Source organism: Homo sapiens, chromosome 13, assembly GCF_000001405.40.
Source record: "Homo sapiens chromosome 13, GRCh38.p14 Primary Assembly".
Lineage (NCBI taxonomy): Eukaryota > Metazoa > Chordata > Mammalia > Primates > Hominidae > Homo > Homo sapiens.
In genome coordinates, this window is record NC_000013.11 from 94384436 (window position 1) to 94408273 (window position 23838).

Sequence of the window (23838 nt, forward strand, 5' to 3'; positions counted from 1 at the left end):
TTACCTTTAAGCCTTGGCTAACATAAAGCCTGGGTTTTGAACTGCTATTCCCACAGATTGTCACACAGGTTGCTGATATTAGTCCATATGCAATTTCTTACAAAAGGAAATATTTTTTTAAAAAAAGGCCATGGGCGAAGTTAGGGGAAGAGACTAAACACTACCAAGAATATGAATGGGGAATATAAAGACCACTGAAGTTAGAGCTGGAGGAGATCAGGATGGCAGACAAGTTCCTCATTGTGCAGATTAAGAACTCAGACAGGGTAAACAATTAGTCCACTGTTACCCAATGAACAAGGGTGAAAGCTGGGAATCTCCCAAATCCTAGCCCAGTATTTTTTTTATGGCAATACCCTACCTCTTAAGCAAACAACAGCTAAATACTGTCCTCCCCAAGTTAGGAGAACAAATGAGACAGATCCTAAGTGCTATAAAAGCTTCAGTGGTTCTACAGCATTCATTGAGTCAGTCCACCAGTCCATCAGCAGTATGATTAAGTACTCCCTGTGTCCCAGGCTCTGTGCAAGGCCCTGTAGATTAAGTGCTGTAAGATGGCAATGGGAGGCCAAGGCAGGCAGATCACCTGAGGTCAGGAGTTCGAGACCATCCTAGCCAAGATACAGAAACCCTGTCTCTACTAAAAATACAAAAATTAGCTGGGTGTGGTGGCACATGCCTGTAGTCCCAGCTACTTAGGAAGCTAAGGCAGGAGAATCGCTTGAACCCAGGAAAAGGAGGTTGCAGTGAGCCAAGATCATACCACTGCACTCCAGCCTGGGTGACAGAGTGAGACTCCATCTCAAAAAAAAAAAAAAATGGCAATGGGATCAATACCTGAAAAGGTACAGTGACTGGGGTGAGCCCAGTGAACCTGGAAACATCAGTACCCTACTGCTAGACTGCAGGTTTAGGAACGGACCACACTGGTAGAGAAACACCTGGATCAGTCCTCAGGAAAAAGATTTAAATTTCATCCTGAGATCAATGGGAAGCCATTGGAAGATTTTATGCAGGTGGGAAAATGATCCAGTTTAATGCAATGAAATCACTTGTAGGAATAGTCCAGAATTTGGTCCAATAAAATATATCTTTTATTATGCATAAGTATATTATTAAAAGATGAAGCTGTCAAATATTTGTGATTCAAATTATGTACCCATTGAACAATTACAATTCCATGGTTTCCTTTAGTTCTTTTTTTTAATTATTCCACTAGCAGGGAATCCTAATATTATATTTTTATATACTAGCATAGTAAATGGATCACCAATAAAGACTTGCTGAATTAAATGTAATTGAAGCTTTCTTCTTATCCAAATATTAATTCATCTAGAAAAACATCAAAGAAATTTTTCACTTAAATTTACTAAACTATTTTGTAAGAATCCATTTATAATGCAGATAATAACATTTTTTCACACTTTTGAATTATGAGTTTTAAGATGACAGGTCTTTTTAATTGTTTAGGAATGGTTGTTAAAAAAAGAAAAGAAAAAGAAAGAAAAGTTACTTTTATCACCTATGTGAAATAAAAGAACTAGAAACTTTATTTGTAGAAAATCTGGCCAGAGGCAATGACTCACACCTGTAATCCCAACACTTTGAGAAGCTGAGGCAGGAGGATCACTTGAGCTCAAGAGTTTAAGACTAGCCTGGGCAGCCTGTAATCCCAGCACTTTGGGAGGCCAAGGCGGGCGGATGATGAGGTCAGCAGATCGAGACCATCCTGGCTAACATGGTGAAACCCCGTCTCTACTAAAAAATACAAAAAATTAGCTGGGTGTGGTGGTGGGTGCCTGTAGTCCCAGCTACTCGGGAGGCTGAGGCAGGAGAATGGCATGAGCCTGGGAGGCAGAGCTTGCAGTGAGCAGAGATCACACCACTGCACTCCAGCCTGGGCGAGAGAGCAAGACTCTGTCTCAAAAAAAAAAAAAGAAAAGAAAAGAAAGAAAGACTAGCCTGGGCAACATAGTGAGACCCTGTCTCTACAAAAAATATTAAAGTAGCTAGGCATGGTGGCAGGCGCCTATAATCTTAACTACTCAGAAGGCTGAGGCAGGAGGATCACTTAAGCCCAGGAATTTGAGGCTGCAGTAAGCTATTATTGTGCCACTGTACTCCAGCCTGAGCAACAGAGTGAGATTCTATCTCTAAAAAATAAAAATAAAAAATAAGAAGAAATAATTTTTTTAAAAAATCCATCACGTATTAATAGATATGAAGCAGAGATGCTTATTAGAACTGATAGAGATTGTCATGCCTGAAGTTTATAAACTCAAGCCTGTGTGATAGGTCTCCAATAAACCAGACATTTCTTCCTCTCTTTCTGTTTTATCCATCAGACTCTTTCGGCCACATTTTTCTGTTTGTACCCGCTCCTGCAGCCTTTTGTCCTATCTAAGTGTTTAATCAGGCTTGTCTTCCATCACCTTATTTTTCCTGATTACTTTCTGAATCTTGCTCCATAGCTCTCTACCGTACTTCCTTGATTCAGAAACATACCTATTTCAAATGTTAACATTTCTGACATCAAAATGACTCTTACAGTAGATATGTCTATTTACTCCAGTGATTATCTTATTTTTTAAAAAGCTGTTATTAAGTAATGGCACCAGTTGAAATTGATGATGACTTCAAATAGAACAGGATACACAGCAGTATGGGTGCTGTGGCAGTCTGCAGGGTGCAATCTGCAGTGTTGAGACTGTGGTTAAGGGTGTGTAAGCAGTGGCTCCCCTAAGGTTTGAACCCACTTTCATCCCCCTGCTCCCCCAAGTCACTCCACCCTCACCCATCTCTGACAGATCTCACTCTGCCTCTGTAGCTCAACAGGTCTGCAACAGGAGGCAGGGTAAGAGGAGACTCTGCCCTTTGATGGGAGGAAATTGCAAGTGTGCCCAATCACAGTGACCTGATCAGCATTTAAATTTTCATTCTGAAAACAAGAATGGGTTAAACAAAGTGGTTAAGGGAATGTCTTCCCTGCTTCCTCTTTCTCCTGGGACAATGTGAAGATCAATGAGATAATCTCAATACAAATAGTTTGTAATCCTAAAACAGTGCTTCTCAAACTTTAGGGTGCAGGCTAAACTCTTGGAGATCTTATTAAAATGCAGATTCTGATTCAGTAAGTGCTATGGATTGACTGTTTGTGTCCCCCGAAAATTCATAGTTGAAATCCTCACCCCTTGTGCAATCATCTTTGGAGGTGGGGACTTTGGGAGATAATTAGGTCTTGAGGGTGCAGCCCTCATTAATGGGATTACTACCCTTGTAAGAGGAGACATGAGTTTCTCTCTCTCTCTCTCTCTCTCTCTCTCTCTCTCTGCCGTGTGAGGACACAACAAGGCAGCCATCAGCAAACTAGGAAGAGAGCCCTAATCAGACACAGGATATGCCAGCACCTTGGTCTTGGACACCATGGTCCCAAGAATTGTGAGAAATAAATGTGCATTGTTTAAACTGCCCAGTCTGTGGGATTTTTGTCATAGAAGCCCAAGCTAAGACGGTAAGTCTAGGGTAGAACCTGAGTGAGATTCAGCATTTCTAACAAGCTTTTAGGTGATGCAGTTATTGTTGATCCAGGGACCACTTGGAGTAGCAAGGCTTGAAGGCAGGATTGCCAGATCTAGCACATAAAGATAATAGACAACAAATGGAACACACTTATACTAAAAAAAGGATTCGTTGTTCACCTGAAATTCACATTTAATTGGCAACCATGTGTTTTATCTGGTGTTTTAAATGTCCCTATTAACATGTAAGATATTACCTTTTTCAGTCCACACACAAGCCTCAGGGAGCATGTTGCAATTTTGGGGGTTTCTTCACTGATACCCTTGATGTTTCCTTTAATGGGGCTTTTCTTATATTAAAAATAACAACAGCAATATGAGCTAGGAGTTCACGTCGTTCAATTATAACATCACCCACTAATGATAGACAGGTTATGGACAAGGTTGAAGTCTTCTCAACAATGAATTGCATAGGCTTCACATGTGCATCAGGAGAGAATTTTAAGTTAGAAATACAGCACAGCCTTCGCAATGCAGAATATCATCCACACAAACCTCTGGTCTTTAATAGTGCCATTTTGATACATGGCAAGGATGAATACTTTGTATCTTTGGTCAGCATTTTATTCAATTAGTGTCTTAGCTCAAAAAATACCACAGATATAATAGACTAAACAACAGAAATTTATTTCTCATAGTTCTAGAGGCTGGGAAGTCCAAGATCAGGGTGCCGGCAGATTGGGTTCTCTTCCTGGCTTATAGACAATGGCCTCCTTACTGTAGCCTTAGAGAGACAGAGAGTCCTGGTTCCTTTCTCTTATAAGGGAGCTAGTATGAGAAATCATCTACCCTCATGATCTCATTCAACCGTAAGAGGGTACCTAAGAGGTACCAAAGGCCCTATCTCCAGGTACCATCACACTGGGGATTAGGGCTTCAACATGTGGATTTTGGTGGCACACAGACATTGTGTTCAGAATCACATCCTACTTATCAGAAGAGCTAATACAGGATTTTTCTTAGAGTTCATGGCAATGTCTGTCACTTGAGAAAGACAGCCTAGTCGTCTTCAGTGACCAGCAGGAGCAAGTGTAATTTCTACTCCTTCTATTTTTCACTTACCTAAGCAACTTCTCAGGGGTAAATGTGAGAAGACACAGCAACATTCTGACTCCACTCAGACAAATAGGAACTGAAAGGAAGCTAGTAAGTTACAGAGGAAAATCGATAATAATCTAGAAGGCCAAAGGGAAAAAAATTAAAGACTCATGGTGCAGGTTACAAATCTAGGCCTCCCAAAGTTCCTGGGGTGAACTGAGAGACCCTAGGAGGACATTTGCAGTCATCAGTCATCCCTGAGAAGGGCGTTCTGGGCAGTCGGTGGCCATAATGAGCTGTCTGTACAGAAGCTAGAAAAGAATGATTAGATAGGAGGCAGGAAAGCATAGGCTTGGAGGGAAATAAAGCTTTTATATGGTTAGCATATACAGGTTAGAACTTTGTCAGGCAGCAGCAAAAGAAAAAATAAAGCCCTAATGGTGTTCAAATAGGCCCTTACCTTTTTGCTCATAAAGAGGCAGATTCTTGCTTTTTTAGAACATAGCCATGTTAAACTGCATCACCTCTAACTTCTTGTAGCATTGTTTTCTCTTCACGCAGACCCTTTTTCCAAACTCAGAGGGATTAAAAAGAAAAGGAGAGTATGACAGACAATGAGACAGGGCAGGAAAAATGAAAGCCAGTCTGAGAGCCAAGTCCCACTGGCACACATGTTATCTGATAGGACATAAATTATTTCAGAGCCTTCAGAGGTCTTGAGTCAGTCATTTCCAGACTCCTCCCTCTCCCCCATAAAACTGACAAAACAGCTTTCTGACGTTGCTCCTTGTAAGGCAGTGTTGAGCTTTCACTGTGTCCTTTCTTTAAAATGCTTTCTGGGAGGAGGCTATCAAGGAGCTGGCTGAGGGACAAAATTAATCGGACCCGTTGGAAACATGGCTTTTGCAGGGAGCCCCTGCTGTTTTTCAAGGCACCTGATCCTGACAGAAATATTGTGTCCCCAAGGAAATCCTTCCCAAGGCCAAGAGGTAAACACAGTAAATTGTAAGAAATAGGAAAAGTAGAAAAATCTAGAAAATAGATCAGTCACTCTCATCACAGAGTGTGGGTTGACTAACCAACGAAAACAGCAAGTCATGACTGGGTAAGTCTAAACAGATGGAAGGAGATGGAATGATGCACGATGATGGCAAATCTGTCAAAGATAGTGACTTGGCCGTCTTGAGGACAATATTGTTTTAACCTAATTGTGGGGTGTGGCCCAAAGCACTCTAACTGCATTTTAAAGAACTGTAAAATATCCAATATATACCAAGTCAAACACCTTGGAAAGGTGGGTGTATTCATCCGTTCTCACACTGCTATAAAGAAATAACTGAGAGTGGGTAACTTATAAAGAAAAGAGGTTTAATTGTCTCACAGTTCCACAGGCTGTATAGGAAGCATGGCTGGGGAGGCCTCAGGAAACTTACAACCATGGTGGAAGGCGAAGGGAAAGCAGACATGTCTTACATGGCTGGAGCAGGAGGAAGAGAGGGAAGGGGGTGGTGCCACACAATTTTAAACAACCAGCTCTCGAGAGAAATCTATCATGAGAACAACACCAAAGGGGAAACCCACCCCCATGATCCAATCACCTCCCACCATCACCCATCTCCAACATTGGAGATTAAAATTTGACATGAGATTTGAACACAAATCCAAACCATATCAGTGGGAATTCTGTCTTAGGAAAGAACTGGCTACTGTCAAGCCAGGTGTTCTAAAATGCCCACTTCCCTTCTTCAGACACACTTGAAGAGAGAGGACCCCATAAAGTCTTCCTGACTGTCCTGGCAGGGAGGAAGCTGTGTGAACCTCTTGCAAATGGGAAAAAAAAAATAAATGTTAGGCAGAGCTGGCTGCAAATAGGAAGAAGGGAGCATGTTTCTTGTTCACAACATGGCATTCCTGAAAACTGGCTCGTGAGTCTTTTTTTCCTTTCTGGTCTGTAGTTTGCTAACTGCAGGTCTACTAAGAAAGAATGGGTTTGGGGAGTTCCTGCCAATGAATTAAGAGGCCAAGTCAAAGAATTTTGCTCCTGCTTACTGCTGCAATCAATGAGCTATGTGTTCTCCAAAAGCATCCCCAAACCATTTCCTGCCTCACATTCTCCAACTGGAAAAGAGCCACAGCAAATTCTTTTTCTGAACATGAATTCAGGCTTTAAAATTTCAGATTCTGCTACCGTCATCCACTCACAAGAAATTAGTTTGGCAATTTGGGGAGCCATGTTAACAACTTAATTTTCATAAGACTACATTAAAATTGCATAATTATATAAAGTAGCTAAATGACTTGTCCATGGTCACACTGCGGGGTCCCAGAGAGATCACAGGTGACCCAGTCATACATAGCCCTTATGCGCTTAACCGTATTTTGATGTCAGATCTCATGAAGTCCCCTAGTGCCTCAGACAACCCTAGCTTAATGATCTTCAAGAATTTATAATTACACTTAAAGCAGAAGGTCACAGTTTACGTTGAATAATCCAACTTTCCATCCAAGAAAAATGGAAAGGGAAAAAAGTAATTCTTATCAAGAACTTTAGTAAAGTTATAACTAAAACTTGAATTTTTAACATTGTGGTGAAATATACCAAACATAAAAACATGTACCATTGTACGATGAATAGTTTTGTGGCATTAAGTGCAGTCACGTGGTTGTGCAACCATCATCACCATCCATCCACAGAACTTTTTTATCTTCCTAAACTGAAACTCTGTACCCATTAAACATAAATTCCCTCCCCTCTACCCCCAGGCCCTGCTGACCACCATTCTATTTTCTGTCTCTTTGAATTTGCCTATTTTAGGTACCTCATATAAGTGGAATCATAAAATATTTGTCCTTTTGTGACTGTCTTATTTCACTTACTATAATGTCCTCAAGGTTCATCTATGTGGTATCACATGTCAATTTTCTTCCTTTCTAAGGCTGAATTATATTTCCACTCTATGTGTATACCATATTTTATTTCTCCATTCATCCATAAATGGACACCTTTCACCTTTTGGTTATTATGAATGGTACTGTGAGCAGAGGTATATAAATATCTGCTCAAGTCCTTGCCTTTCATTCTTTGGGATATCCCAAAGATATCTGTATACTTCTCTTCACAGTACCATTATTCATGTATATAATAATGAGATTTGAAAGCCAATAGTTCTGAGAAATAAGGCACTAGCAAGGAAGGTTAGCCTGGTGGTGCTTAGTAGGGGTGTCATGAATCCAAGTAGCAGCTGTAATAATAATATATGTATTATTCATATATATAATAATAATGGTACTATGAACATTGGTTCTTGGTACTTGGGGTGTGTATATATGCAATTGCTGGATCATATGGTAATTCTATTTTTAATTTTTTTTTTTTTTTTTTTTTTTTTTTTTGGAGATGGAGTTTAGCTCTTGTGGCCCAGGCTGGAGTGCAATGGCCGTGATCTCAGCTCACCACAACCTCCGCATCCCAGGTTCAAGTGATTCTCCTGTCTCAGCCTCCCAAGTAGCTGGAATTACAGGCATGCGCCACCACGCGTGGCTAATTTTGTATTTTTAGTAGAGATGGGGTTTCTCCATGTTGGTCAGGCTGGTCTCGAACTCTCGACCTCAGGTGATCCACCCTCTTGGTCAGGCTGGTCTCGAACTCTCGACCTCAGGTGATCCACCCTCTTGGTCAGGCTGGTCTCGAACTCTCGACCTCAGGTGATCCACCCTCTTGGTCAGGCTGGTCTCGAACTCTCGACCTCAGGTGATCCACCCTCTTGGTCAGGCTGGTCTCGAACTCTCGACCTCAGGTGATCCACCCTCCTCGGCCTCCCAAAGTGCTGGGATTATAGGTGTGAGCCACTGCACCCGGCCCTGTTTTTAATTTTTTGAGGAATTGCCATGCAGTTTTCTGCAGCAACTACACCATGTCACATTCCCAAGAGCAGTGCACAGGGTTCCAATCTCTCCACATTTTTACCAACACTTGTTATTTTTTGTTTGTTTATTTTAAATTATAGCCATCCTAATATGTGGGAAGTTTAAAACTTAGATTTTTAAGAAATCTTCTAGAAGAGGTTGCTGATAGCATAGGCTTGTAGTCCCTTATTTGAGACCCTTGAAACCACATGTGTTTCAGAATCCATAACTTCTTAGATTTCAGAAAATGACCACAGTGAATATGCTATATATTACATCGTATCTCCAGTGGGGTCTGGGGTTGCAATCCACAATCAAACATATTAGTATTTCTGCAGCAAAATGTATTAAAATTCACACTGAGTGAGATAAATGAGGACTATAATTAACCTTGTTTCAGACGAGATGAAGTTTTGCTAACAAGCAGATTGAAGGAAAAAATGGGGGGTCTTGAATTTTGGCACTGCACATAGGGATTTACATCTACTTAGATGAGTAAAACTCTTAAGCCTGCTTAACATGAATGAATAGGTAGCTTAGAATTTGAAGAGATGTGTATTGAGTGGAGCTCATTTGTGGCAACAAACAGTACTGAAATTGCTTTCGCTTTACCCTTCTCATTGTGCCTTGAGGCAGTAGCAGTCAGGGGAAGAATCATGCACCTGAGAAGAAGCCCAGACCGGCACCCAAGCTCCCCATTTCTCCCCATTCCTCCCTTAGCTCCTACTTGGATTCATGACACCCCCACCAAGCACCACCAGGCTAACCTTCCTTGCTAGTGCCTCACTTCTCAGACCTACTGGCTTTTAAATTTCATTAAATCTTGAGAGTCATGTGACCTACTCCCCCAATATGCAGTGCCTTACATCAAAACAGCTACCAGCATTAACGTGATGATGAGAAATACTAAGCACATTCACATATCAACAGGGTCTTTCTGGAAGCATTGGTTTAACTGTCAGGAGTGATGTTGAATGTTGAGAATAGCGGGGGCTGTGGTTGGCTGCTGGGAAACTTCTGTGGGGATGGTCCTGTTTAATATCTCTCAGATGACAAGAACTGTCAATTCTACCCACAGGGCTGGATGTATCAGCCCTCTCACCCCCAAATTTCCATAGGACTCTTCTACCCTAATCGGTTCTAATGTTTGGATGTAGTCAAGGACACTCACATTTATAATATGCAGTTAGATGCAAAGAAAAATAATTCTGTAAAACTGCCAAAGATTTAGTTCCTAGCCATGCTCTTCCAGAACAGAAGGCAACCAAAATGAGGAAGCTGTGCTTGGCTGTTCATGAATGCCACCCACTTGCCCAGGGCAAGCCGCATTGGCAAACCATGACATCCCTGCTCAACTCTCCAGGTTGTCCTCACTTCTGGCTTCTCCCAAGGCTGGATCCACCAGGTAAACTTGCATCCAGCCTTGGAACATGGGCTCTCTGTGCCAAAATTCTCCTTCTATGTCTCCCAGGGATATGATGGTGCAAAAACAGGATGCTGTCATGTCAAAAAACTGTGCAAAACCCAATAAAAGGAATAACATTGTGGGCTCAAAGACATATCTATTCTTGCAGGACAGGAGTGTTATGTAAAGAAACCAAATGTGAGAGGGAAGAAATAAATGGGCTCATGAGGTCCTCATGCTGAGTGGGGCTTTCACAGACCCTTTCCGGGGGTCGCACAATGGACATCTATAGATTTAGATTCAGGACTTACCTCTGGAGTGACAAAATGACCATTTTTATTTTCAGCTATTTTAGGTTTAAGTTTTCACAATGTCTCCAAAGTCATCTTTTGAATACACCAAAAGGAGAAAAGGCTCTTGAGGATACGGATGCGCTGTTACTTGTTTTTATTGTAAGCAGCTGAGCATCAGTAGGCACAGTTAGAGGCTGGGTTTACTTGGCAGTCTCTTATTGTTCCTGGATGTTCAGACTCCCAGGGGTAGCATTCCCATGTAAGCTATTGCAGTGAGCTTCTGATAAATGACTCTCAGCTAACCATGCAGTGCACACAGCATCTGAAAGAAACAAAGCTCGCCTCTGACTCAGCATAGGTACAACTGCAGGAGTCATTTCCCAAAATGTAGAGGAGCAATGCCAGAATCGACCATCACCTCTCAGCTCTGGTGTCAGCAAAAGATGGGCTGCACCTGCTATTGTTTATTCCAATAGGCTGTAATAATTAGGTAGAGCTCACGGAGCCTGGCTCATATAATTGCCTGTCAGTAATAGTCAATCCAATGGCATATTTTAGAAGTTACATCAGGAAAACAGTCTCAGGATCAAACAGGAATTTATTTGCATATGAGATATAGTAAAAGGCAGGACAGAAGTTATGCTTTATGGCAAAAGAAAGAGATATGAGTCCACGGCTTTTAAAATTTTCTATGAGGCCATTTTTTAGAGCAGTAAATACTTAAAGCTTCATGGAAAAGAATTTACAATGCACTCTGTGTGTTTTATTATTCATTATTTAGTGAGCATTGTGAAGTCGATTTTGTTCAAGATATGGATGAAGACATGGAGCTTATTCATGGGACCTCTGATTTAAAATGAGTAAACCAATTCATACACAAACACATCAAGCATAGATTCAATACCTGAAAAATAGCTTAAATACCAAAGTTTCTCTGTGTAGTTCTTCTTTTGGAGGTTGATGGATAGAGCTTTTGGTTTCCAGAACTTGGAAAATCACTTGCAGGAAGGGAAGAATTTCAAGCATATGGATATTATGCAAGAATATGTAGATAGGAATAATAAAATAGAGGAAAAGATGTTTTTTGAGCTTTCAAGCAACAACAGTAGAGCAAGTAAAAGAATAACAGTAATGGCAATTAGGTAGGGCTGTCCCAGGCCTGTAGAGGGCCAGAGCTGGATGTCCTGATTCCCTGTCAGACCCAATCTTCATCAATCCACTGTGGCCCTGGCCCTCCAGGACCCTCTACAAGCTATATCATCTGGGCTCCCTTGCCCACCAGCTTCCAGTTGGATCAGCCAATGGGAGGCAGCAGCTGGAGGTCAAGAGGCGGGACTAAAGGGGTCAGGGCATCCTGCCCCGGTCCCCTCCCTGATAGGTCTTGGTTTGGCAGTTACTGTGTCTTTGGGTGCCTCTCTGTGGTATCAGTTCTTGTTCATTCCACTAACAACTTCTTCCCTTTATCCCCTGGGGCCCCCTCTCCTGTGGCCAGCCCCAGGGCGCTTCACCTCTCTGGGCTGGTTTCCTTTAACTTGTCCACACGTTTATAAATAGCGTCTTCTTTAAACTCTCTTTATTACCCCTTTGAGTGTGCTGTCTGTTTCTTACCAGGACACAGACAAATATAGCACCTTGGTAGGAATTAGAAAAACGCACCCAGATGGGTGCATGGGGGTTCATTATGTTATTGTCTTTACTTTAACATGTATTGAAGTTTTCTAAAATAAAAAGAGTACCAAAAAGAAAAGAATAAAGGCACGTCTTTTGGTGGATGGTGCCCTGCAGGGGTGTAGCTTGGTGACCACAGAAGTGAGGCTGGATTTCAGCACCAACTCACTCCTGCAGCTTCAAGGGGTGAGTTTGTGCAGTGCACGAAATGCCCAACCAAACCTGGCCCCCTTACAAAAGGGTGGGCAGATCCCTGAAAGCTGGGAAATATCTTGAGGAGAAAGTGAGGATAGGCCTGGGTCTTTAAGGGTATTTGGGACTTAAATGGGAAATTGCACTATGCAAGGAAAACCTGTAGGACAGGAAGGCATGGGATGGCTACAGTGAGTTGACTCTATAAGACAAGGAGGGTCCCTGGAGAGAGTATGAGAAATTAGAAGTGGGTGGAGACCCTTTGATTGCTGAGCTATAACATGTGAATTCTAGTTGATGATCCTCCAGGCAGTCTGGGGCAGTGTTTTTGCACTGGGGCTCCAGAGCTAGACTGGGAGTAAGTCATGGTTTTGCCAGCTATTAGCTCTGTGACTTTGCACATTTGCTTATTCTCACTAAGCCTCAGTTTTCTGTTTCATAAAACAAGGATAAAATACTCCCCATCTCCTAGATTTGCTGTTGGGCTGAATTTAAAGATGTGCGTCAAATGTTTTACTGCAGTGCCTGGTAGTTATTGGACATTAGCTACTATCCTCAAAAGTTTTTAAAGAGAAGGGTGATATGATGAAAGCAATATTTTTTGAAAACTAATCATACAGCATGTGCAGGATGCTCTAGAGAGGAAAGAAGGGCATTGGGGAGGTCACTTTGAGGCTACAGGGGGGTGTCTCTCCAGTGAGAGAAATGGGAAATGGGAAAATAGAAGCAAGCATAAGAAGCTCTGTGAGAAGAGGAAGAGGACTGGAAGATGGACAGATTGTGAGAGTAAGGAGTCAGAGAGGGCCCCAAGCACATTTCCAAGATCTTTAGCCTCCACTTATATAAATACCCCTAGGCAGCTTAGGCAGCTCACATTGAAGGACTGACAATTTTGACATTTTGGTACAAGGGAAAGAAATGTGAAACTCAGAATCATTTGATTTTACCCTTCTGTTTTACTGAACATTGGTAAATCTACCTAATCGAACCCAAGATTCTATTACAAAATAAAAACCCTAATAGACACCTCAATCATTCCAGTAACCACTGCTTACTTCTGAAATGTCCCCAAAGCAGGTTTTTCATATCCAGAATTTCTTCTGATTAAGATCTGAGGTAGGGCCTCTGCAGTTGAGAATGGGCATCCTCACAGAGAACTCTCTTGAATCATATGTAATTTATAAGCCCAGTTCTTACTACCAAAATTAGCAGAACTGAGGAAGGCATTGAATCCTTGACCTAAGCTAACATTTGGGATGGAGGGAGGAAAGAGTCATTAATGTTAAGTAGTGGTGATGTGGTTTGGCTGTGTCCCCTCCCAAATCCCATCTTGACTTGTAGTTCCATAATCCCCAAGTGTCATGAGAGGGAACTGGTGGGAGGTAATTGAATCATGGGGGCTGTTACCCCATGCTGCTGTTCTCATGATAGTGAGTTCTCACAACATCTGATGGTTTTATAAGGGGCATTTCCCCCTTTTACTTGGCACTTCTCTTGCCTGCCACCATGTGAGATGTGCCTTTGCTCCTCTTCCACCATGATTGTGAGGTCTCTCCAGCTATGTGGAACTGTGAATCTATTAAACCTCTTTTTCTTTCTAAATTACCCAGTCTCAGGTATGTATGTTTCAGTGTGAGAACAGACTAATACAAGTGGTTTCTTATAGGTCCCCAATTTCGCATTTATCTGTAGGCAGACCTACCTAAGAACTCAGTGCCATTTAAAAAAAAAAAAAAAACTAGTCTGAGGCTATTTTAGCCACATCTTCATCTGAAAAAATGTATTCCATGTTTTCACTATTTGGCATTTTTTTTCCAGGAACTAGATCCAGTTTTTGCCAGGTGTCTTGGCTGACTGTCAGAGACAGTCATCTGGTTTTGCATGGCAGCATCTGGTTTTACAGTTTCTGTGGCATCTCCCTGAGGTGTTCTCTCACTCTCTGCCTTGCAGATACTTGCCTGAGATCATGAATGATGGGCTCACCAACCAGATCAACAATCCCGAGGTGGATGTGGACATCACTCGGCCTGACACTTTCATCAGACAGCAGATTATGGCTCTCCGTGTGATGACCAACAAACTAAAAAACGCCTACAATGGCAATGATGTCAATTTCCAGGACACAAGTAAGAAAATCCTTCCCAGCACCAGAAATTTTCAAAGTAAAAAATGGTTTTAGAAGATGATGCCCTGACTTTCTTCAAGAGCAATATGCCCTTTTAATTTATTCTCATTCTTCCTCAGGCTGTGATTCTTGTTATAGTCTTTTGGACAGAGAGCTCTGATCCACAAAACATAGGATACGAATAAAATCATAAATTCCACAACACAAGGAATAATTGCAATGGATTACATTCAGCCATACCAAAGCTGAAATTGAGTTTCATCTACCAGTTGATTCATTAATGACAAAACAGCAAAGTAATTTTTTCACTTTCTCCTGTCCTCATCACTATTCACATCTGACCCAAACTTCTGCCCTGTTCCCACCAAAAGAAGAAAGCTCAGCAGATTGCTTAGACAAGCCTAAGCTAGAATCCCTGTCTTATTCTTTATTAATTAGAGTCTCTACAAATTACTCTACTTCTTGAGTCTCAGGTTCCTCTTCTATAGAATGGGAAGCATCCCTGCTTCAGAGGCTTTTAGAAGCCTCATTTGAGGAGCTATGATAGTGTCTGGTGGGTAGATGTAGCTGACTACATCATTTCCCTCTCTATCCAGCTATGCACATACACAACCCATAGACATTTATATCTGAAATATTGAGAGAAATTGTAAAATTCTAGTGCAATATTACACACGACTATTTCATTAAGGATCAAAGAAGCATCAAAAATTATTTGGAAGACTATTAAGTGAACATTGACATGAAACTATATATGGGTTTTGTCTGAGTAGTTTCAAGATGACTAACTACAAAAAAAGAGTTTTTTCTGTCATTGTTGCTTGTTGCTTTTTAAAAATATTACCCTTACAAAGAGAATTCCCAGGACAAGGATTCTTGAACATAAGATGTGAAGTTGCCAGTGATTCTGTAATTTGGTCACTGAATCATAAGATGATGCTTGTGTGCTTGGATTAATGAGATAGAAAGAAATAAGTTACAGATAGAAGACCTCAAGTCATTTCAGTCATAGTTATCAGCCTACCAAGTTATCCCCTGCAAAAAATTTTTGTGCTTTATTCCATTTTAAAGAACTCAAAAAAATGATTTTCTAAACACAGAATAATTACCAACCCAATGGACGTTATGGCTGTAAAATTCCTCAAAATAATCCCATTATCTCTCCTCCTTTTACTAAACCCCTCCTTTCCTCTTCAGAAGAGAACATTACACAGGTTTCAGCCATTGTTGCTTCACCCTTGTTAGCACTTAGCCTCACACCTCTCATTTTATCCATTGTCTTCTGTATTAAATAAAGTGCTCTATCATCTAGAGAGTGGCTGTTGGAATGAATAATTCAAGATACATAAGAATTAGTTGGTTTGGCTTTGTTGCTTCTCACTCCTCTCTGACCTAAAGAGGTTATGCACATATCAAGCTGCAAAGCTCAGGGAATGGCCAGGAGGCAGAGATCTTACTCCATTTCCCCTCAAAAGAAAATAAAATCAACAATTAAGAGGATCCCTGAGTTCTAACCCAAGCACCAAATGTGGCCCTCTATTTTAGGCTGGTGTCTGTCATACAAACCATTATCACATCTTATAAGCATCAGCATCCTTATTGCTTTGAACATTTTTTTAAGTTACTCATCCCACCCCTTAATATTTGCATTTGTGATTCCTTTTCAAAAAGAGATGGGGCCATTATTTTTTCCAGCCAAAATCTCCTGTCATATTTGCTTCCCACATTTTTTAATATTCTAAATCATTTTAATAATATCTCTGTAAAGGTTGTATTACTTCTTGTTCATGACACCAGTGTTCAGAACAATTCCCTTAGCAATTCTGATATCTCTGAATTTAATTAACAGGAATTTTCCCCCTTGTAAAGGCCACTAAAGGTAAATCAGAGAAAATGTTGAAAACCTAGTATAGTGTATTGAAGTGATCTTATCTGGTATTTAGATGTCCCATTAAAAAAAGAAACTGTGCTCATTCTCTAATTGTGTCTTTCTCATTCAAGAGGACATTAGAAGAGTCCCTACACTGCCCCAGATTTACTTAAGTAGCATCCAGCAGCTAAGGATGGCCCTGGTTTCTCAGGAGCAGCTCAACAGAGCATCACCACTTCGGACTAGCAGGGAGGAGTTTAGGGACATTGGTTGGAAATCATTGAGCAAGTGAGAGAAATAGCTAATGTCCTTACAAAGCTTCCAGTTTCCTGAGCCCTTCCAGGAACATCATTTCTCCTAACAGATAGATGTTATTACTCTCATTTTTACGGGTGAGGAAACGGAGCCTCAGTAAGTCTAACTGGCTTACCCTGGTGCATTTAAATAACAAATGTCAGGGTACATTCCAGGTCGCCTTTGCTGTAGGAACCATGTTTTTTCCATCAGGCATCATTGGCAGCACTGGGTTTGGTGTCCTCGAGCACTCTAGTGATTTGTCTTCACACACTCTCTCCAAGGTCAATATTGTCATCTGTATTTGTTTAAGTGAGGAAACTGCAAAAGTTGAGTAACTGCCCAAAGCACATTTATTTATTCAGCAAGTATTTGTTGAGCACTTGCTGTATGCCAGGGGCCACTGAAGACCTTAGAGGTACAGAAATGAACAGGATTTACCAAATCTCTACCCTCTCAAAGATTATGTCCTCAGTTAACATTCTTGAGAAGGAGATAAACAGTAAGCAAGTGAACAGGCACGTAAATAATACCACCTCCAAGCGGTGAAAAGTACTTTCATAAAGCTAGTAATTGGCAGCCTGATCTGGGCCAGGTTTGAGTGACAGGATTTGTCAAACAAGAAGGAATCAAGCCTTGAGAAGTGGAAATAGGGAAGAAAGCAAGTTGGGCAGGAAGGGACGATGCTACCCTGGGTCGACATACTCTGTGGGTACCAAGGCCTTGGTTTCAAGCAGAGAATGGCCAACTGTTTCTGTCAAGGGCCGTATATTAAATATGTTAATCTTTGAGGGCCACATCGTCTCTGCCACCACTACCCCACACTGCTGGTCTAACGTGATAATATGTATGTGAACGGGTAGTTGGATTCTAATAAAACTTCATATATGGATGCTGAAATGTGAATTTCACATACACTTTTTACATGTCATAAAATATTCTTCACTTGATTTTTTTCAAACACTTAAAACTATAAAAACCACCAGGTACAGAGGCACATGCCTATAGTCCCAGCTACTTAGGAGGCTAAGGCAGGAAGATCACTTAGGCCCAGGAGTTTGGGGCTGCAGTGAGTTATGATGGCGCCACTACACTCCAGCCTGGGCAACAGAGCCAGACCCTATGATTGATTGATTGATTGATAGATAGATAGATAGATAGATAGATAATAGACTTTATGGATATCTATAAAATATATACTTTTATGTAAATAAACCATTTTGGAGTTATGGACCATACAAAAGCAAGCAGCAGGTCATAGTTTGTCAACTTCTGGTTTAAAGGGACAAGCTGGCTGGGACAGAGTCCAGCCTTGCTCTCAGGAGAACACAGGTGGGGAAAAGGTGGACAAAAGTCATATTGATAGAGACCTCTCACTACTATTGCTGCTGCTCCTCTCATTTCCTATTTGTAGAACTTGTTTTCCTCTATTTTTCTTTTAAAATCCTTTAAAAAGCATGGTATCTTCCTAGAGCAATGGCTCTGAGTATAAAAAGAGCAAAGAATGGAATTTCTTAAACTTAAGTACTGGCCAGAAGAAATGTCTAAGGCCAACATGGTAGGTGTGGCCTCCCCTTGAGTCTGGGGTTCACACATTCCTTGGGTTGCATAACTCAGGTATCAGTTGATATTGTTCTTCAAACACCTATTTCTGTACAGTCCACCCACTCATCACACCACTGCCTATTAAAAACAATCCTGTTGGGTAGGGTGGGGGACCATGGATGGGGAGATTTTGCCTCCCACCACCATGCCCCATATCTGCTGAGCTCTGTTTCCACTCTTTCCTGGTTGGTTGTATTAGTCCGTTTTCATACTGCTATAAAGAACTGCCCGAGACTGGGTAATTTATAAAGGAAAGTGGTTAATTAACTCACAGTTCAGCATGGCTGGGGAGGCCTCAGGAAAATTACAATCATGGTGGAAGGCGAAGGGGAAGCAAAAGACCTTCTTCACAAGGTGACAGGAAAGAGAAGTGCCAAGCCGTGGGGGAAGAGCCCCTTAAAAAACCATCAGATCTCGTGAGAACTCACTCACTATCACGAGAACAGGATGGGGGAAACCACCACCATGATTGAATTACCTCCACATGGCCTCTCCCCTGACAGGTGGGGATTATGGGGATTACAATTCAAGATGAGATTTGGGTGGGGCCACAAAGCCTAAACATATCAGTGGTCTAACTTTCTTTTTCAATCTTTCCACACTAGGTGATGAATCCAGTGGCTCAGGGAGTGGCAGTGGGTGCATGGATGACGTGTGTCCCACGGAGTTTGAGTTTGTCACCACAGAGGCCCCCGCAGTGGATCCCGACCGGAGAGAGGTGGACTCTTCTGCAGCCCAGCGTGGCCACTCCCTGCTCTCCTGGTCTCTCACCTGCATTGTCCTGGCACTGCAGAGACTGTGCAGATAATCTTGGGTTTTTGGTCAGATGAAACTGCATTTTAGCTATCTGAATGGCCAACTCACTTCTTTTCTTACACTCTTGGACAATGGACCATGCCACAAAAACTTACCGTTTTCTATGAGAAGAGAGCAGTAATGCAATCTGCCTCCCTTTTTGTTTTCCCAAAGAGTACCGGGTGCCAGACTGAACTGCTTCCTCTTTCCTTCAGCTATCTGTGGGGACCTTGTTTATTCTAGAGAGAATTCTTACTCAAATTTTTCGTACCAGGAGATTTTCTTACCTTCATTTGCTTTTATGCTGCAGAAGTAAAGGAATCTCACGTTGTGAGGGTTTTTTTTTTCTCATTTAAAATAAAAAAGGAAGAAAGAAAATAATTTTCCTTGTAAAATCGGGCCAAACCCCAAGACAGCTACATTTTCAACAAAAAAGCAAACAGAGAAAAATAAATGAACTTTAACACTGTAAGTTCAGCATTGACAGCCAACTTCCAGTGTAAGCTTTTTTGTGACAAATCCGGGTTTAAAAATGCTTATGGGGAGAAAGCTTAAAGTTTGTTCTAAATGTAGTGAAAATGCACTGTTGTCTTGGAGGTATCATCTTGCACTCTAACCAAACAACACCAAATTAATCTGGAGGTACTGATACTAAATTTGGAATCCCGTCTTTAATATGAGAACACAAATTACTACAACTCAGTACCTCTGTCTTACTCTGCCCAATTTCAATTTAGTAATGGCACCATTATTCTTAATTCCCTTAATGTCTGTCCGCTGTATCCAATTGGCACAGATTTTCCCCTTCATCTTCAATTACTAGTAGCTACCCCCATCAATTCACCTTCCTCAAGAGTCTCAATTGAAAATAATCTTTGATGATACAATCTCTGCTTTTGCCACAGGTTTGACATTAACTAGACGTTTCTGCCCCTGTGCTCATTACCCTCCCAAAACAATAGTTTTTTTAATGAATTGAAACACAATTAGATCCATTCCTGAGTTTTCATTTTTAACTATTTACTTTGTGTCAGTTGGTTTCTGCATCACAAGGGCATTCTCTTACAAAACAACTCACAACAGAAAAAAAAAGTCAAGACAAAAAATATATATATATAGTATTGACATGGAGATTTCTTTCACTTTTTTAGTCTTAGTATGATCATCTATTTTTATATCTATGTATATATAAATCACAGATTTTAACTTCTTAATTCCAAGCTCAGGGTTGACACACCTTTGTAAGAAAATGTTTTGTCAACCAGCTCTTCTTGTTTTGTGCTGCTCAAAGAAGGGATTCCTCAGTGATCGGTGAGCACCAAGAATCAAGAAAGAGAACTTTTTATGTATCTAACTGTCCATTTATTAAAAATTTGCCAGGGCACACCCTTCTGCATGAGTGTGCTTCAGCCTGGGTGCTCCAGACTACACCAAACTCATGGGATGAGCCATTGGTGTGCAGGGCTTTACCGGTGATGGAAACTGTATGTGTAAAGAATGTTATTCATGAAAAACCATTGCTTTCATGTAAAACACCTTCGGCCTAGGATTCCTGCCTGGCACTTGGATACATTACCTAACTCAATAGGCCAGTTTAGAGCCACAGCCTAACCTGTTCACCAAGTAGGCCAAAGCCAGGCCTTTCGCTCCCCCTGACAGAGAGAAGCAAAATAAACCCAACTGGGGGCTTTATGAATACAGTTGGCTATCCATATGTTTCTTAGTTTTTATGATGCATCTGGAGTAGGGAAAAGTAATGTTTCAAGACACCATAGTAGGCCAGTTACATTTTAATTAACTCATCGACAGTATTGACACGTAAATGGTATTTTTCAATCTGTTCTCATCAAAATTAAAATTAGTTATTGATTTAGTCATCACATTTAAGTAGAACACATGTGGCACAATAGTATTAAGTATATTTGAGCACTTTTGCAAGACAGAAAGTATTTACAAGCATCTATTGCTACTTTATGCCTAATGAAATATAAAATGTAGGATGATGAGAGACTTTGTGGCATTCTTTCATTTAAACCTTTATGAAATTAACCATCTAGTTCATCATTACATACTCCTAGAAAACCATCCATTTCACTGCCCACATTTTGGCTTCCTACCACAAATTCCACATAAGACTTCTCTATGAAGGACCAGTCATTTACATTGCTCATTTCATTCTGTGTTCAGAAGTCAGTATTGTCTTTCTCCAATAATTAAGGTGCAATACAAATTAAATCAACCTTGATTTTCCAGACTATTTGAATAATAACTTGCTTTTATGGCTTTAAACTCCAGGTCTTTCCTTTTTAAAATATTTCTGCATTCTCTTTTATGAACTAGATCAGGATGCCTTGTTTTTCCTGTGCTTTCACCCCCAAAAGGTTTTGTGCATGTGTATGAATACACATAATATTAGTGAATGTGAACCCATGTTCTATACGCACTAAACACACAGTTAATATATAAACGCCTGCTTCATTTGTTTCAACACCTTCATTATCAATATGATTCATATTGATGAGATATAGTGATGCATAATGAGCCAGGCAGAGAGCTGAAATGATATCAGTTAATGATGTCACAGTGTTAGCACCCTGCATGGATGTGGTCAAAATATCATTCAAGTTGTACTTCCTAGTTTTTATCATCATACTACTATGTCATATGATTTTCAGACTAATTTAACATGAGAAATGTTTTGGCCCTAAAGGATTTCACTTAACCTAGTTACCCTATTTCAGTAAGTATTTTGGAATTCAACCCTCGAATTATTTTTTCTCATTTCAGCATAGTGATAGGGGATGCAATGAGGCTTCATTATTTTTTATGACCTGCCCCTCATTTGCTCTGATGTTCCCTAAATTCTGTAATCATATCATAACTTTTGTTATGAATAGAGAGGAATGGGCTCACTGAAACCTGACACTAGAAATTGGTGGGTGATGCTCATAACTGCAAACACTTAGCTTATTGAAGTGCCTCTATTTACATGTTCTTTAGTTATAATATGTATTTTTCTAACAGAAATACACGTCTGTAATTGGTATATATTATACTTTGTATGTGTCACAACAAAAGCTAAACAGAGGCTAAAGTCTTTAGCAGAGAAGAATGAATTACAAATTTACCAATAAGAGCTCTGTTTATGGTTCTGTATTGAAGGACAACCATGACAACCTTCTGTCATTTTCACGAAGGCCAAGTTGGTACTTTGATTATAGCCATCGTAGAACATTAGCACTAGAAATCTGTCTCCCTTACAATGACTTACCTAGCTAGCATCAAGTAACTTGTATCACCTGCTTTAAATGTAAGGGATAGAAAATACTATTTTGTCTACACTGAAAAACATTATTATTCATTGATAAGTAGTAATAATTATAAAAGTAACATTCTTTAAAGCAAACACATTGAAAATATTATTACAGGCAGAACCCTGATTTTTAATTTATATTCCCTGCTGCAGACATTAGCCTTCTTTAATTCTTTTGCCATTACATACATGTTTCGGCTACAGACTGAACACGAACTAAAGTCCCTAAGGAGGAAAAAACCTTAACATATTCCTGAGATGTGATTCTTTTATTACTTCTTTTTGCAAAGCTAATTATCAAATGATTTGATTAAACCTAGACGCATTAGGAAATGCAAGTTTTACCTAAAACTTGCAGAAATTTAAACACATTTCCATTTACTTACTAACGAACAGACCTGATTTTTATTTAAAAACACAATTTAGCTTTGCCAACAGAAGAGTAAAGGAAACCATAACTTATAAATTTGTAATGTGTTCCTCCTTGTTGGAGACATTAGCCAGTGTTTAGTTTTAGACCAACTTATACAAAGAGAGTATTGATTTGTACACATTCTGGAGACTTGCTATATCATGGTTTGCTATGGCACAGACTCAGCTTAGCATGGGGACATTTTGAACTTCATTCAAAGTTGAGTAGTTACTGGAACCTTTGACATTGCCTTGTAATGAGGTACTTCCAAAAAAAGACCCCTAACAATGGCATAATAGTGAGGTCTCTCTGTGCATATACATAATATATATGCAGGATAAATGTGTGCACCAATCAAATCTAAAATTTTATGTGACTGTCAAATGAATATTATTTGGGTTAAGATTTTTCATTTCTGATTTGGATAGAAAATTGCTATTAATCTTGTATTAAAATAGTTTTTAAAAATCTACCAGTGCCCTTTCTGCATTTTCTTAATTATTGTCATAGTCTAAATTTCAGAGCCATGGAATTTTTTGTGTTTGAGACATTTTTAGAAGCTTCAATATTAAAAAACAACAACAAACCTCGTATATTAAAACAGTGCCACTCTCCTAAGTACACTCAGCATCTGAAATCAGGAACTATTTGAACTTTAGAACATTTAGAGCTTCCCAAATGTGTATGGAAAATACTGTAGCGCTGTTCTTTTGTACTGATTTCTTCTCAGAGGATAAATTTAGTGACTTGAAAACTGATGTCAATACTTTATAAATGAGGTCAGAAAATAAGATCAAATGTGAAAAGACTAATAATTTCCCAATTTAGCCAATTGCATTGATTTTTATACTTCTGAAATGTTTCCATCCTCTCAGGCATGCTAAATATTGTATAACCTGCTAAAGATTTATTTCACAAATGCTTATTGAACTCTTATTCTCTATAAACCCTGCTCTAGGGGATTTATCACTGGCTGTGAAAAACCACCAGTTGAAAATTATTCATTCCTTAATGCAGCTAATCATAATTATTACAGATAAATAATGTATTTCAAGAATGATCTTATAAATAAAGGAACCCATACAAACAAAGGTACCAAGAATACAGCATTTAACTGTAAGAAATACTGTGATTTAGCTCACATTATTACTATTTTGGTTTTTATTGAGAAAAGTGACTATTACAAAACAATTAAGGAATGTTAGAATAATTCCATCTATAAGATCAAAATATAACAAATTTTATTTGGAAGCAACAGAAACCAATTTATTGGGCAGGAAAAACATCCAAGTGTTTTTCATCCAAATGAAACCAGACACTTTTATCAGGTAACAACAATATTTA

The 23838-nt window shown here is 40.0% G+C and overlaps 1 protein-coding gene across 4 annotated transcripts in view; it reads left to right on the top strand.

Annotated features, from left to right (window-relative positions):
- GPC6 (glypican 6) overlaps positions 1 to 23585 on the top strand; it is a 1191492-nt gene extending 1167907 nt beyond the window's left edge. For all 4 annotated transcript variants that reach the window (XM_047429990.1, NM_005708.5, XM_017020300.2 and 1 more), the window contains 2 exons: positions 14031 to 14206; positions 18580 to 23585. In XM_047429990.1, coding sequence (XP_047285946.1) covers positions 14031 to 14206; positions 18580 to 18782 — 379 coding nt within the window. In that variant the 3' untranslated portion in view covers positions 18783 to 23585. The remainder of the gene's footprint in view (positions 1 to 14030; positions 14207 to 18579) is intronic.